General features: G+C 45.2%; 1 protein-coding gene across 56 annotated transcripts in view; it reads left to right on the forward strand.

Annotated features, from left to right (window-relative positions):
• The window catches only part of CACNA1C (calcium voltage-gated channel subunit alpha1 C), a 727171-nt gene that overhangs the window by 500284 nt on the left and 209544 nt on the right, over nt 1–17343 (forward strand). For all 56 annotated transcript variants that reach the window (XM_017019926.3, XM_017019934.3, XM_017019946.3 and 53 more), the window contains one exon: nt 15041–15199. In XM_017019926.3, the coding sequence (XP_016875415.1) occupies nt 15041–15199 (159 nt within the window). The remainder of the gene's footprint in view (nt 1–15040; nt 15200–17343) is intronic.

Consider the following 17343-nt stretch of genomic DNA (forward strand, 5'->3'; position numbering starts at 1 on the left):
TCAGGTTATCTGCTCTCCTCGGCCTTCCAAAATGCTAGGATTACAGTTGTGAGCCACTGTGCCTGACGTACACATCATTTTAAAAATAACTTTATTGAAGCGTAATTTATATTCAATAAAATTCACATATTTTAAGTGTACACTTAAGTGTAATAACCTTAAAATCATAGAATTTCACTTACCCAACCCCTTGTCCTGTGTGATTACTATATGTCTTCTATTTACACATACTTTATAAGTTCCACTCAACAATGTTTTTATTTTTACTTTAGTCAATTGTCTTTTAAGTAAATTATGGGAAAAAATAAAACATAGTATTTTATATTTACCTACTTATTTACTGTTTCTGATGCTTCTACTACACATTCTATAGATCCAAGTTCCCTTCTGGTATCATTTCCCCTTATCTTGAAGCAACCCAATGGCATTTCTATAATGTAGGTCTGCTGCTGGAGAATTAGCTAAGCTTTTGTTTATCTGAACATGTCTTTTGCCATCCTCTTTTGACGAATATTTTTGCTGGTATAGAGTTCTTGATTGACAGGTTTTTTTTTCTTTCAGAACTTTAAAGATGTTCCATTTTCTCCTGGTTTCCACTGTCTCTGATGAGAAGTCATTGATTTTTTTTTTTCTTTCTGAGACGGAGTCTCGCTCTGTCGCCCAGACTGGAGTGCAGTGGCACAATCTTGGCTCACTGTAACCTCCGCCTCCTGGGTTCAAGCAATTCTCTGCCTCAGCTCCCGAGTAGCTGGGATTACAGGCACCTGCTACCACACCTGGCTAATTTTTGTATTTTTAATAGAGACGGGGTTTCACCATCTTGGCCAGGCTGGCCTTGAACTCCTGACCTCGTGATCCACCTGCCTAGGCCTCCCAGAGTGCTGGGATTACAGGCGTGAGCCACCATGCCTGGCCTGATATTATTGTTATTATTTCCCTGCACATAATGTTTCTTCCTTTGCTGACTGCTTTTAAAATTTTCTCTCTCAGTTTTCAGCAGTTTGACTATGATGTGCATCATTATTATATTCATTATATTTGTTCTGCTTGGAGTTTTCTGAGCTTCTCAGATACACTCATAAATGAGAAGTTTTCAAGTTCGGGACTTTTGGGGCCATCATTTCTTCAAATATTTTTTTGTACTCCATTCTCACTCTTCTCTTGCTGGGACTCCTGTTATACATGGTGTTTGGCCATGTTATAGTATCTCATTGGTCCCCGGGGCTTTGTTCAGTTTTCTTCAGTCTTTTATTCTCTGTGTTCCACAGATCAGTTCATTTCTGTTGATTATTCTTTCAGTTGACTCATGTTTCCTCTAATGTCTCCATCTTCATTAAGCCTATTCATAATTTTTCATTTCAGTTACTTTTCAATTATGGAATTTCCATTCTGTTCCTTTTTATAGTTCCCATTTATTTGTGGAATTCTCTATATTTCTCCCTTTAAGATCATATACTCATTTATTTCCTTTAATCAGTTTTTCTTCCATCCTTTAAATATATGTATCTATATATGGATACATATGTAGCACTCTCTCTATATATATATATCTCTCTACACACCCACATATATATAGCTGTTTTCAAATCGTTGTCTGCCAAGTCCAACATCTGAACAATCTCATTTTTTGTTTCCTATTGACTGCTTTTTTCCTTGACTATCACATTTTATATTTCTTTATATGTCTAGTGATTTCTTTTTACCGAATATTAGAATCATGGATAATATGTTGTTGTGACTCTGGATCTTTTCATATTCCTAAGAGTATTGGTTCATCAGCAGACAGTTTACCATGAACGTGTGTAGGCTTGGTTTTATGCTTGTTGGTGCTGAGACATTGAAAGCCCAAACCCCTCAACCTCCACATTTAATTTTCCCCTCCTGATGTTGTCAGGGCAATGATTTTGGCTTTGCCAGGATGGATCTAGAGTGGGTCTCACTGTAGACAAAGGGCCTTACTCCCAGGAGGTGCCCTTGCAGTGTCAGAGTCATCTGTCCAGGGTGGTAATGAGATGTTAACTAGGTCTCTCCACAATTTCAGGGCCGTAAGTCCAACCTCCTGACACTGCTTTTTCCCCAGCACTGATTAACCTGTACCATCTCTTTTCTGCTGTCAACCCTAAACCAGCTGCTATCTGATATGCCTCATTGGTTTCACCTTGTACCTGTACAACCCAGCCCTAAGCCACAGACACACAGGCAACCCCTACACAAACTTCTAGGGCCCTGTATCTACCTCGCTGTCTCTTCTGGATGTCCCACCACAGCCACTTCAGCTTCCCACATTCCAACCTGATTTCTGCCTTCTCAATTCCATGGGGCTGCAGTGTTGTGCTTGAACTGTAGCTCTTTGTGCTGTCCTCGGGAAACTGTTCTTAATTATAGTATATTAGATAATATAATGTTATATGTTATATTTTACTTTATATGTCACACATTTACTGAGGACTTATTGTGTATAAGGCACAGTAGTAATTGGAAGAAGGAAAGGTACTAGAATCTTGCTTTATTTGGAAAATAACAACTTAGAAAATTTTAGAGCCAGATTGCATTTTCTCATCCAATGTCCACCTTTTAAAGATGTTGAAACCTGGACCCAAAAGGTGACATGACTTGTCAAGGTCACACAGTTATTGATAGCAGAAGAGGAAATAGCCTGGCATTTTCCCCCACTAAATCCCTCCAAAAATATATTTTAAAAGAAAATCTAAGCATGATGTTTAGAAATTTTTACCACTATAGAAAATTTGGTTAGTGCCAAAGTCCCTATTGATGCAATAGTGATTTGAGCCAGAATTAGAAAATAAGTAAGTATGTGACCCTAAGAGCATTTTGTTCGAGTTACATAGAAAGATTAGCTTATGGCGTAGAGTTACCGTAAGTTGGCAGCAATGAACAAATTTGGTTCTTTGTTACACTCCATCTCAAGAACATCCAGGGAAGAGAAAGCTGTTGCCTGGGTATAATGGTATTTGCCAGAAAAAAAATCATTAGAGAGGTATAATTAAGACTAGTTTAGTAACTCATTCAACTAGATAACTCTATAATGAGTACATCTCATTTACCACCAAAACCATAGAGATATTTTGAAGTTTTCCCCAAAAGTATACCTTTTTTACATTTCTAAAGGAAGGAGTGAGGATTTGCAGTGAGTGCAACCAAGCCACCTTTTCCTCCTGTTTGGCCTTATTATCAAGTATGTTGCTCAGCAAACAGCCAGTCCTCAGAAACTTCACTCCAAGAGGCTCTGTCAAGGGTTTGGCACAAAGAGAATGTCGCAAAGATTTTCCAGTGCTCTAGAATATATCCTTGTATTCAAAACCCAGTTGTCTGGTTCTGGGAGTGAGTGTGGCAGGAAAAGCTACAGGTGGATCCCGTAGGTAGTTTCTCCCATAAGAAGTACAGGCCAGGCCAGGCGCAGTAGCTCACGCCTATAATCCCAGCACTTTGGGAGGCCGAGGCAGGCAGATCACTTGAGGCCAGGAGTTTGAGACCAGCCTGGCCAACATGGCGAAACCCCGTCTCTACTAAAAATACAAAAACTTAGCCAGACATGGTGGCACACGCCGGTAATCCCAGTTGCTCGGGAGGCTGAGGCAAGAGAATCACTTGAACCTGGGAGGCGCAGGTTGCAGTGAGCTGAGATCACGCCATTGCGCTCCAGCCTGGGCAACAACAGCGAAACTCCATCTCAAAAAAAAAAAAAAAAGAAAGAAAGAAAAAGAAAAAAAGAAATGCAGGCCACTTTTTCTTTCAGAATTGGCAGTTGAGATGATTCAGATCAACTGTCCTGCCGAGGACAATTAGAAATGCTGGACAAAATATTCTAAATCTTCTTTCTGGAGCTTGGAAAAGATGCCTGATAGAAACAAATGTGAATCCTCTGTGGAGAAAGATAACATCATCAACATTTTCAAATTACTTTGAAAACCAATTGTGTGAAAATAAGGTTTTGGCTGGGCGCGGTGGCTCACGCTTGTAATCCCAGCACTTTGGTGGGCCGAGGCAGGCGGATCACGAGGTCAGGAGATCGAGACCATCCTGGCTAACACAGTGAAACCCCGTCTCTACTAAAAATACAAAAAATTAGCCGGGCGCAGTAGTGGGCGCCTGTAGTCCCAGCTACTCGGGAGGCTGAGGCAGGAGAATGGCGTGAACCCGGTAGGTGGAGCTTGCAGTGAGCCGAGATCACGCCACTGCACTCCAGCCTGGGCAACAGAGTGAGACTCCATCTCAAAAAAAAAAAGAAAAGAAAAGAAAAGAAGGTTTCATTCATGATACCAAATAACTATATACACAAGGAGACAAAGTAACCTGAGTGAAAACGGGGAGAAACTATAGACCATAGAAATAGACCCACAGGGAATTGAGATATTGGAATTGTCAGATATAGACTTGAAAATAACTGTATTTACCACATTCAGAGATATCAAAGACAGGACTGGTAATTTTCCAAAGAACCAGATATGGAAAAGAACCAAATGTAAATTTTAGAAATGAAGAATACAATCACTGAAATGAAAAAGGCAGTGAATGGATTTAAAAGAAGACTTGGCACAGCTGAAAACAGTTATTGAACTAGAGAGAGGGCAGGGAAAAATACTGATAATCAAACACAGAAACTGAAAAGAATTGGGAATGCAGAGAAGAGTACAGAATATCAGGGAATAAGTGGATGCTCACATTTATGAAATGTTTTTTTCCTACATCTGACAGAATCGTTATTTTTAAGTTAATGTGAATTACATATTAACTTGTTATGGAAGTATAATATAGTGGTTATCTTGGTGTAGGAGGGGTGAGTGGGGCTGCTGTATAGCTGGTGGGGTTTTATTTCTTGGTCTGAGTAATAGTTGCATGGCTGTTTGTTTTGTGATAAATCATACATTGTAACATCCCCCTTTCTTGCATCTTTTGTATGTATATTTCACAGTTTTTTCCAAAAAAAGATGTAAGAAGAAGCAAAAGTACAGGTCCAGGTAGCTATATCATTGGCAGATGCCGAAGGAGATCTGCTCCTTACTCTGCCTGGAGCACAAAACTACAGTTTGCCACCAATAGGGAGGCAGCACAGAGGGACGGCCATCGTGATGCAATCACTTCCAATGGATTAGAGCTGTCATGAGAGATGCACTGTTGAGAAGGATTGTGAGGCCCCATCTGGACCAGAGGGAAGGAGCAGCATCTGCCATGACGCGGGCCAACAAGTGGCACATGTGTGCAGTGTAGTTGTCATTTTGCCTGGATAATGGCTAAGGAATGGAAGTGGTAGCTTCAAGTTGGCTTGGCTTCTAACTCCAACTCTGCCATTTACCAAGTGTGTAATCTGGGACAATTTATCTGTCTTACCTAAGCCTCATTTCTTTTATCTGTATTAAGACGGCTGGGGAATTAAATGAAACAATGTATGTAAAGCACTTATGTGGTACCCAGCAGGTGCCGAGTCCTCGGGAAATGGTAGTTAATACTATTATTGTTGTTGTTTGCTTTAGATCATCTTGTCTGCCTTTCACCATATGCAGTTTTCTTCTAACACAGGGTTTCTTTTATATCTTTTTCTCTGAATTTCTCTTTTCAATCCACATTGGTAATATAAAAAATTAATTCAACTTGAAGGCTGATATTTTAATTACTCCTAAAGTTTTAATTTATTGGGGAACCAGTTACCCACCATCCCTTTGCTAAGACAAGAACCCTCCTTTAGTGTTCCTCATACCATGTGTGGGATGCAGAATTTATTAATCTGGAAAGGCTAAATTAAAAATAAATGAAAATCTCTAATGAATAAGGACACTCTAATGAGAACATGCAAAAATCATAAAACTTGAGGCTGTAGGAAAGCTATCCAGGCAATAGTTCTTTCCCCGTTTATAGGAAGCTTCTTTTCCCAGTAAGAAAATGCATTAGTCACTTTTGAAGCTCAGCTTGATAAACTTACTCCTTTCCCCAAGAGAGAACTATCTGCCTTCCTAGTTCTAGACCTATTTTCTTTTGAAAGCCATTAAGCCTGTGAGACCATTAAAAGTGTCTGTTACTTCATCAGCCAAATGAAGGCAGAAAACATGATCTGTGAGATTCATCACGTCTCCAGCTTCTAGCCAGTGCAACATGATTCATGGAGATCAGAAGTAAGCGTGGGCTAGTAGTCACAACCTGATGATGACAGTGGTGATTGTCACCACCACAAATGCTGAAAGGAGCACTCATTTTTAGAAGCAGTCAGGTATGACTTTGGAAGATGAGGACCCAGAGTTGGCTAGTGAGTTATAGTAAGAGGATATTTATCTGATCACTATCCCTGGGAGGGAACTTGTTGGCTCACAAAACTTAGAAGCCCTCCAGGTGGAATACCTCCTCCTGGCTTAATGGAAAGGTGATGGTGGCACATAGAAAGCCACTCTGTCTTATCTGCGAGTCATCCTACAGTTGCGCTACCACATCTGCTCTCCACCCTTCCCCACTCTGCTCTCTGGCTGGGGAGTCGACCAGATGGCCTCCATCAACAGGCTGCCTCATCTCCAGTCTGTAGTTGGGTTCAGTCGATGGGGAGCCGAGCAAGAGATCAGCAGGTGGGAGTAGGGTGAGGTCAGGTTCTTCTGTCCCCAGATCCTTCCCTGCAGGTCTGGGCTGGCATTGTCACAGCCTCTCCGAGTGGTCCTTTATACAGAATGCTGTCCTTCCCACTTTCTGTAACCACTCTTTCCACTTGCTTCTTCAGCCTAGTGGTGCTAATAGATCACTGTTGTTGCCACTTCCAGGCCACCCTTGTGGTTCTCTTTACCCCATCATAAAAAGCACCAGTCATCTCAAATTATCTTAATTTGAGTGTGAGGAGATGGTGGGACAACCTCGTAGAAATATCTAGTAGGCTTATGAAGCATGTCTTGAACTCAGAAGAGAGGACAAAGAAAATAAATGTAAGTACAGGTGTGGATGCATGTACTTAGTGGTGACTATTGGACTCTTAGGAAGGAGTGAAGTGCATGAATTTTCTGAGAGAGAGTTTAGAGAGAGCCACACAAAGGGCAGAAGACTAACAGAATAAAAGGGCAGAGAGAAGCTCCACCCATGGACACAGCTCACAGGTCTAGTCTTCTGGGAACTGTTTTCATATTTTCCTAGGTGAAGATAGTCTCTCCCTCTCCTCTATGCTTCCACCGTCCTTTGGGCATAATTCTTAGGAATATTATCACTGAGGATAACCCCCATGCAGGCAAAACTCCAGTCACTGCTTGAGAGCATCTGATAACACCAAAAAGACTGGATGAGGTTGCTGCAGCCTCCCAGGATGGCCAGCGTGCCCTAGGGCCTGGCTGCTGGTTGGTGGGGCAGCAGCTGCAGTGTCACTTGAGACCCGGTTAGAAATGCAAACTCATTCCCCACCCATGATGGAGAATTACAATCCACATTTTGACAAGATCCTAGGGGACCTATGTGCTCATTTACCCTAAAGGGTCCCACTGAGACCTGTGTCACGCTTCTAAGACCACACTTCAAATAACAATGGCTGTCACTGATATGGCCTTTACTATGGGCCTGATGTTGTTCTGGGCACTTTGCTTAAATTAACTTGTTTAATCCTCACAGCAACTTTATGGGATAGGTAAACGATCATCCTCTCTTTAAGATGAGGTCAATAGTTGGTACAAGGACACATGGATGAGATGTGGTGGGATTGGGATTCATTGGAGTCATTTGGCTCCAAGGGTCCCTCTTCTTCAACCACTGCACTCTCCTCCTTCTCCCACCTCCCATGGCAATCAGCAGGGTGCTTCATAGGTTCTCCGTAGGTGCTTGGAAGATGCACAAGTGAATGATGGCATAGCTGTCTGTGGTAGCCTCAAGAAAGGGAACCTTGATCATCTGGGGAAAACTTTCTACAGCCTGGGTACGCCTGTCTCTCTCATTACAGAAGGGAGAGACTCTCCGATAGTATTTTCTCAGATAGAGGATGTAGCTGAGGATGGAAAACTTCATTCTAGATTCCCCTGTGGGAGAAGCTGGTGTTTGATCTACATTTTCTTAGAATCTGCATCGCAAATCCAAGGATAGTGAGGTTCAAGGGCAGTTATGGGGCTCGGTGGGCACAGTAAGGACAGTGCCCTTCACTTGAACACCTGTTTTTTTTAAGTTTTTAAAAATTGTTTTAAATTTTCTTTTTGTTTTTTAGAGACAGGGTCTTGTTCTGTCACCCAGGCTGGAGTGCAGTAGTATGATCATAGTTCACTGTAAACTTGAACTCCTGGGCTCAAGTGATCTGCCCACTTCTGCCTCCTGAAGTGCTGGGATTACAAGCCTAAAGCCACTGTGCCTGGCCTTGAACACCTGTCTTAAGAGAAATCTATTTCTTTCAGATGACATCCAATTCTAAGAGGAAGGACTTGTAGCGAAGCTTAGAATTTGCCCACCATCTAGTGACTCTTTTTGTTTGGATTTGGCTAAAGTTTATTTGGAAATACAGAAGGCATAACTTGCTTTGGTAGGGCCAGCCTCTCAGTCAGCCATCATTCAGCTAATCAGACATCTGGATTAAGCAGTATGGCTTTCTCTTCCATTCTGCAAGGACAGCCAGTTCAAGTTAAGGAGCAGCTTTCTAAAACTCCATGTCCTGACTCCTGCCCCAGTCTTGAAAGTGGGCTGTCGCCTTAATGCTGGCTTGAAGCACAGCAGAATCCAGAGTCAGCCCCACTCCTGGGAAGCCCTGACTACATCGGGATTGGGGATATCACATGTAGAAGGGGTTTTCCCAGGCTTGAGGTTGACTCGCCATTTCTTTTCATCCAGGCTTTCCGTATTGGCAGAATCTCACATGGTGCCGCAGCCCTCTCTTCTGTTGGATTGGGTCGCTGAGAAGTTGTGGTTAAGATTGCCCCAGTAAAGCCAGCAGAGTAGAGGACCCCTGGCCTAATGCTGTCCTTCCCCTGCCCCTCTGTGGCACCAGATGGGGATTATTTCCTCCACTTTACCAGCGAGGACGTTATCAGGAGGGCCTTCCTCGTGTGCTTCCTGAATTTGTTTTCCTGAAAGTAAAAGTGATATCTGCTTCCTCTGATTTCACACACAAGCAACAAACTGGTTCCTCAAACCTCTTTCCAGGGATTTCTTTGAGAGACAGAACAAAGCCAGGAGGAGCATGGGGCTGACAGACGGAGAGCCCTGGGTGTCCTATAGCTATCCAGGCTACGTCGCAGTCTGGACCCCACAGCCCTGGCGCCGGGACCCTCTACCTGCACATACCTGACCAGGTCCTCTCCCCATTCAGCCTTCAGCTTAAGCACCACTTCCTGGAAAGCCTTTCTGCAGCCTCCATGCCAAAGGAGGACCCTCGTGGTACCCTATTCTGCTTCTTTAAGGCTCTTCACAGAGTTTATTATACATCAGTTGCATGATTATTTGACTAATGTTTGGCTGCCTACAAGCTCTGTGAGGGCAAGGCCTGCAGGGCTTGTAGTCACCACCGTATTCCCATCTCTAGCACGCAAGCATGGCTCATGGCCTGTAGAGCTTAGCTCAGTAAATAGTCTTTGAGTGAAATGAAGGTATTGGGTTAGGTGATCCCAAAGTCCTCTTCCTGTCATGGCAAACTCTGAGTCCACCTATGAGAAACTTGTACCCACCAACCCCCTAAACCCAAACTTCTCTTTTCCTAGTTCAGTGATTCTCAGCACTGTCTTCTGATGAATTCTGTCATCAAGCCTCCTTGATCGTTTTCATACTTTCCTAAGGCTTGGCTGGAATCTTTGAGTTTGAATAATTGGGAATGTGAAATGTTCATGCCTAAACACCAACAGAAAAGCAGAGCGTCAATGTGGAATCCAAACAATGGAATCTAACGTTGGCAATGATCTCCAATTCTAGGGTCTTCAACAGTTTCTCCCTGTGCCCTCCCATCTCATGTGAAATGACTCAAAATATGAATTCAAAAGAGGGAAGTATGGGTTGAAGATTACATGAAAAGAATAGAGTCCTTAAGAGGAGCCTTGAATCAGGCACATTACCTTCCAGCCCCAGGAAGTTCTCATTTTCCTCTGCTCATAAAGGCATTTTCATACTCTTTTGTGATAGTATCTCTGGGGCCCTGAGCAGAACACTTCATCCCAAAAGTAGGGCTTGGTGAGATGCTGTTTTATAAAGCAAAAGAGGATGTGATCTGTTGTCAGCCCTCGTCAGTCATGGTGGACAATATGGACCAGGTAATGGAAGCACCAACTTTGGCCAATCTGGGCATCTCCAGGCTAACCTCAAAACCACCGTAGAGAAAGGTGCCAGACATTGCTTTCTGCAATGGACGGCTTCTCTTGACTTTTTAAGGAGAAACAGTGTGATTTATAGATGCAGGTCCTCTAAGCCTTTCCTAACCGGAATTGTCAAGTTGCACCCCAGAGGGAATGCGGGCAGCACTGTAAGAGGAAGAAAGGAAATCCATGTCTGCCGGCTAAACTCCATCCTCCCCTTTTCCCGAGCCCAGCACTGAATGATGCCACTGCCCAAGGCCCCATCTCCCTGGAAGGTCTTCCTGGTACCTTGAGAGTCTTTCCACCCGCCAAGAGGCAGTCACTTGACATGAACTCCAAACTAGCGAGACTGAATTTCTAGGTTATGTGCTGTTTGATCTTTGCATGGAACCGTATGTTCCAAATTTTCCAGTAGAGCTCTCCTGTCACATACTCAGTCCTATTGGTCCCATAAGTACACATGTGTTTGTCAGATCTTACCCTGATGTAGGGCTAGAAAAACAGGCTCATCACATGCGTGGGCCAATAGTGATCTTGTGTTCACAGAACGTTTGTCAGCAGTTGCTTCACCAGGCTTGTCTAGGGCCCATTTTCTTTCACCAACATGAGCAGCCAGCCCTGAAGAAGGCCCGACACTCGCTTATCAGCGGTGAGCATGGCCTATCTGAGAACACTTGGGTGGAGAAATGTCGTGTATTTTCCAAATTAGAACTTGAGTTGGAGGAGCTGTTTCTGGGGCAGCTGTGAGCCAATCCCAAGAAGCTGTTAAACATCCAGGCCCTGAGAGCCAAACTCTACATGGCAGGGTAGAGAGGAGGATGTCTGGCCGCACGCCTTCACAAGCCAGCCTGGCTCTGCCACCCCAGGCAGGCCGCGAGGAAAGCAGATGGAAGCGAGAGCCTTTCCTGGACCAGCCTTGGAAACATCTGGGCTCTCCTGGAAGCAGGGACTCCACTAGACTCCCCCGCCTTCCCAGCAGATGCTGCAAGCACGTGTCACTGCTTTATAGACTCAGGTCGTGGAGGCTGAGAGCTGCTGTCTAAGCGTGTGGGGGGCATTTGCACAGTCGTGAAGCCATGGGCTAGGAGCCAGACCACCTGGCACTGAGCCCTGTGCCACCACTTCCCAGCTGTGCGACCCTGGGTAGATCACTCCACTGCTCTGGACCCACTCTTCTCATCAGAAACATATGGTTACAAATAGTGCCTACTTCCTAGGTTGTTGCCGGGAGGAGATGGAATGATCCAATAGAGTGCTGAGGGCTGCTGTCGCCCATGGCAAGTCTTCAGAACGCGCTCATCAAGTTGGAGGGCCTTTGGTGTTCCAGGGCAGTCCTTCACCCAGTGACAGAATCCCCAGTCAGGCACTTCCTCAAGTCACTGCTTGGATACCTCTGAGGATGGGGAATCACTACCTCTTAAAGCACCCTATTCCACCTTCAGATAAGCCTGTTTCTCGGACAGATAAGTGTTTATCTGTGCTGAACCTAAGTCTTTCCCGGACACTTCGCAGTTGGTCGTAGTTCCATCCTGTGGTCAGACAGAACTCATCTAACCCCTCTTCCTCAAATAGCAGTTGAGATCCTCTGAAAATCACTGACGTTACCCTCCTGCCTGTGCCTTTTCACCATTCCTGACAAAACACCTTCAATTTCTTCTAATGATTATTGAATGATGTTATTTCCAATTCTTTCATTCTTGTGGTTTCTGTCTTCTGAAGGCACCCCGTGCTCACGCACGTGACTTGGCTCCATGTGCATGGAGTCCCTCCCCACGTGCCTGAGACACAAAGATAAGAAGATGTGATGAGACTCAAGGAGCTCTCAGCGAGGCAGGGAATGGCTTTCCAGGCAGGGGAGCCGCGTGCGCTGGGATTGGAGGCACGAAGCCAGAGAACTGCGGGGTGTATTGCTCAAGCCTAGGGTAAAAACTGGGAGTCATTTGAGACCAAACTGGGGAAGGAGGCAGGTTAGTTTACCTGCAGGTGACAGGGAGTCACTGGGTGACTTTCAGCTACAAAGTGACATGTTCCAGTGTGTACTTTAGGAAGAGCATTTTAAGTGTAGCTTGAAGACTGGGCAACACTGGAACCCGGGAGACCAGTTGACAAAATGACGAGCACCAAGGGGACAGAGAGGAGGAAAACGAGTCATGGATGGAAAAGCTAACAGTGGCTCTTCTCCTGGGGGCAGGACAATGAGTCATTGCTTTTTTCTTCTTCCCTGTGTTCTGCAATTTCTCTATAATAAGTATTTTCTGTTTTCTCTATAATTAGCATGTATTATTTATACAGTAAGAAAAATGTATTCATGTCTAAAGATACTTTTAAACCAAACCAGCAGGACTTGGTTACTGAGTGGAAGAAGGAGCCTAGGAGATCAGTTTTCTGGTCTGGGTGCTCAGGTGAGTGGCGTGACCCCCAGCCTGGACGGGGATGTGAGGAACAGGGCATTTGGCAGGAATTCTTATGGCATCTCTGACAGCTGAAATGACGCCCACAAGCTGCTTTCACTCCACTTGGCCTCTCTCCAGCCTGTTCAGTGGCCTCTGTCCCCTGCAGGCCCTGAAACTCACCTGTCCCTTAGACACCTATCTGGAAAGCAGGTGTCTGTGCAGCAATACTCACCAGCGCTCCAGGACAGCAGTAGCATTTATTTAGATGATAAGTTTTGTCACTCCTTCAGTAAATATTTACTGAGTGCCCACATATGCTCAGCACCAAGCCAGGCCTTAGCAACAAAATGGAAAAGAACAGGCACAGTCCCTCTCACAAAACTCAGCCTAATGTGAGAGACAGATATAAATGTTTTAAAATCCCGTTAAGGAACATAACATTTCAAACTGAGGTGCACTCTCCAGAGGATAGAAAATAGTTCCAAGAAGACATAAAGGAAACGTTTCTGGTCTGGGAGTTGCGTGATGATCCCTGGGGAAACAGATGCTTGGGCTGAGAGTGAAGGATAAGTGGGAGGGAAGTGGGGAAAAGCATTCCAGGTTGAGGGAACAGCATATGTGGTGGCCCTGTGGTGGGAGGAACAGTAGCATATTCAACTCTCTAAAAGAAGAGCTGTTTTACTGGAGTGGGTTGGGGAGAGGCAGTGGGTGGAGAGGTGGGTGTAGCCAGACCCGACAGGGCCCTGTAGGGCACAGGAAGGATCTTGTCTTCATCCTAAGAGCAGAGGAAGGCATTCAAAGTTCCAGCAGGCCTGAGGCAGCCTGCTGAGCAGCCCTCCAGCTGTGGCCTGGAGGGGAGCCTCCCGATGGGTGTCCCTTTATGTCCCACACCCACCGTTCTCTTGCCATTGGAGGCGGTGGCACTGAGGCCCGTCGAGACACCCCTTCATGCCTGGGTAGCCCAGATTTGGGGTTCCCACCACCTCGAGTAGCACTTGGAAGACGTCCCCCACCCCCCACCCCCAGCAGATGCCCTGAAAGCCGCTTTGCAGTTCAGTTTTCAACTTTCTTCGCGGCTCTGCATACTCCAACACTAATGTGTATACAACTTGCTAATTAATGGAATCATTTCAATCTGAAAACATCTTGTTCTAATGGGAGGCTGCAAGCACTCTTATTAATTCACAGGTAAAATCATTCCAGCTTTTCTCTTCTTTCTTTTTTTTTTTTTATCTTCCCAGCTTGGCTTAATAGCTGGGAAGAATCATTCTAATCAGCCTTGCGAGAATCACATCACCAGAATGAAAAGCACCAACAACGGCCTTGGGGTTTGGGAAAGGGGTGACCAGCCTTAGTTTACCCAGGGGCAAGCGCGGTGGATGAATGTGAGGGTGAGATGCCCCACACAGAAGGTAAAGACACAAAAAGTGACCTGTGTAGTGCGACTTGGAGGGGGGTTTCCTGTCCTGTGTGTCAGAGGTGGCACTCAGGGTGACTTTCTGCACCACTGGCTCTGCTGGAGGGAAGGAGGAGCTGCCTCCACATTCTCACCTGGCATGTGAGACTCACTGCACTCACCTGGGCAGGAATCTCACACGTGACTTTCTCGGGGCTGGGTGTCATCTGGGGGTGACTTGCTGATAACCACCTTCCTGTCATTTGCAAATGATTTGCAGTGTCCCTTTAAATGAATGCCATCCCCAGTGTGTTATTTCTGGTATAACCGAGCTTAGTAAGGGGGGCCTTCTCCCCATAGACCGCGGTGCAAGCCCCAGACCTCACCGACAACACCCATGTCCCCAGGCGGGCTTTTCCTTTACTCTTTTTTACCAGAGGGATCTGGGTGCTTTTTAGAGTTTCTTTTCTTGTGGTAATAAGAACATAACAAAATTGATCATTTCAATGATTTTCAAGTGTACATTCAGTGGCACTAAGTATCTTCACACTGTTGTACAACTGTCATCACCATCCAGCTCTGGGACTTTTTCCAATCCCACCATGGGAAAAACCTCGAGGATAAATGAGTCCCTGCAGGGCCGTCTTGAGTCCACATGAGCTCTCACTGTCCTGAGATGCTGCTCTAGGAGAAAAAGATGCTCAGTTGTCTGTAAGATGGGGTATTACACAATTTGACAGTTATGGATGGAAACAACATGTTCTTCCCCTTGGAAGTACAGCAGCTGCCAGTCCTTTGCTTTGGATGAGTCTCCAAGACAGATTTGGAGTGAGGCCAACCTGGATTTAGACCCCTGCACCATCAGTCCTTGGCGTGTGGCTCTGAGCCTCAGTCTTCTCATCTAAACAACAGGGCTGGCAGTTCCTTCCTTGCAGAGTTGCTGGAAGATTGCATGAGATGGCGTCAGCACGGTACCGCGGTGATGCTTGGTTCAGTGAGTGGCTCTGTCCCCGCAGGTCTCCAGGTGGTCCTGAATTCCATCATCAAGGCCATGGTCCCCCTGCTGCACATCGCCCTGCTTGTGCTGTTTGTCATCATCATCTACGCCATCATCGGCTTGGAGCTCTTCATGGGGAAGATGCACAAGACCTGCTACAACCAGGAGGGCATAGCAGGTAAGAGGGGCAGGCGGCTGCGCTCCCAAGGCCCTGCCCTCTATCGCTCCCAGCACCTTTCCCGCTGCTGGCTACACCAACATGACCAGCAGAGCCCAGGGAAGGCCCCATTCATTCAGACACACACTGGGCATGGTTAAGTGAGAGGCAGAGACCCGTATCCTTTTTTTCTCAGTTCCAATTTTTGTTTTAATCTCTGTTAAACCGGCCTAACGCAAACTTCGTTCAGCACTTTTCAATAAGCTACACAATTTGAGAAACATTTGAATAACTTAGAACCTATCTTTTGTCAATCTACGACTTTTCAAGCCAACCCTGAGTATTTTAAGAATCAGAGCTGACCTGGGGTCGTCAGTCTCTGCTCCTTCCATGCTTCAGTGTGGTTGGCCATTGGGAGCCCTTTCACGGGGCCGCTTAGCCCTGAGCAACAGGTTCTCCCAGCACCACTCTAAGATTTTTCTACCTTCATGGTGCTGATTCCAGATCCTCTGTAATTATTGTTTCTGCTTCTCCATTCACAGGCAGATGCCCCAGAGCCCCTATTCCAGGTGGGGGAGGAGGGCAGGTGGGAATCACCCCCTTGCCGGCAGCCAAACTTCCTCCCTTCAAGGAGAAGGCTTAGTTCTACCCCATGACTCCCAGTCCCTTCCTTTTTGAGCCTTCCCACTTCACGTTCCTTCCATAAATCAATATATTTAACAGCAATGCTGGCTCATTAGGCGCTTCCCTGCGTGGCACTGGAGTTTTGGCTTGCAGGATATGCTGCAAGCTGCTGCTAAAGCTACTAACATCGCAGCTTGGCCTTTTAAAGAAACATTTAAACAGAAATTGACAAGGCTTTTAAACAGACATATACAGTGGCTTAACACAAAGAACTTGTTGAAAAAATAACACCCACCCCAAAGGGGCTAGCTGTGTTAAATATATATGATTTTTTTCACACAGCAAGATCCATCATCTTAGTTTTTAGCATCTTGGTGGAAAAAGGGGAGCATCATCTGCCGGAAACAGTGAAGGATACCTAATTTTCTCCATCGACACTGCACCTCATTCCCACTCAGTCCCAGCACTCAGTTAAATGGGACCTCTCGCTTCATTGGGGTGAGGAGGGATAGCTTCCAAACAACAGGGAGTGAAATTCGTAGCAGAAACCAAAACAGAATACTTTCTATGTATGATCTAGTATGACCGGATGGATTAACTGCATATTTGAGGGCATTTCTAGTTTATTTCTACATAGCCACAGTCCTAAAAACAAAACAAAACAAAAAACCACACACACAAAACGTATACTCCTATAGACACAGAATCACACAAATGTTTTCACTTTTTGGATGGAAGTCTGTTTAACAGGAGACTGTTTTTTCACTCTAGAGAGAATTTCCAAATTACTTGGGTCATAATTGTATAAAATAAACTATCCTGTTTTCAAAAATGGAATCCTTGTTAAGTTGGAAGAAGCAGGTCTTGCCTGTAGCTAAAATTCTGAGACTTTTTAGCCTTGCTTAAAGAAATGCGAAACCATATATGAATAATATTTTCCCCTTTAATTAAAATCCTTCCTTTTATTCAGGTTGATTTATAGCTAGCTCAGAACCAATAAATTTATATGAATTGTGTGGCCCTGTGAGAGCTCATTTTAAGACTCCTTAAAAACTGACTGTGGTATGTCTGAAGTTCATGCAGTTGTATTGAAATTATCAATGACCCATTTGACCCAAACTCCTCAGGAAGTCTCAGACATGTGGAGTCTCAAAGATTCCCCATCAGTTCAGCAGTGAATGATGGTGAGGCCCTCACTAACAAAATGGGGGAGAGCGAAATGGTAGAATTCAGCCATCGAGCCAAAGATGGCGGCCCTGCTGTGCAATCAGAGGTCTGTGCACCACAGAGTAAGGAGAGGGGCTCCAAAGCTGCAGGCAATTTCCATCATCCTAACGAGAAAGCAGTCCAAGAGTGTTTTCTGCCGGTGGTGGGCTCCTGCAAGGGCGGGTGAGGATAAGCGGCCCTGAATACTGGTTGGAAGCCCAAGGCTTTGTTACCAGGCCTCAGAGGCCCTGGATAGTCAGAAAATGGTGAGCATGGTAGACAAAGAAAGCATGGCACGGGGAGGGAGCCGTCCTGAAGGCCATAGCCGTAGGGCC

This window comes from Homo sapiens, chromosome 12 (genome assembly GCF_000001405.40).
Source record: "Homo sapiens chromosome 12, GRCh38.p14 Primary Assembly".
NCBI classification, from domain to species: domain Eukaryota; kingdom Metazoa; phylum Chordata; class Mammalia; order Primates; family Hominidae; genus Homo; species Homo sapiens.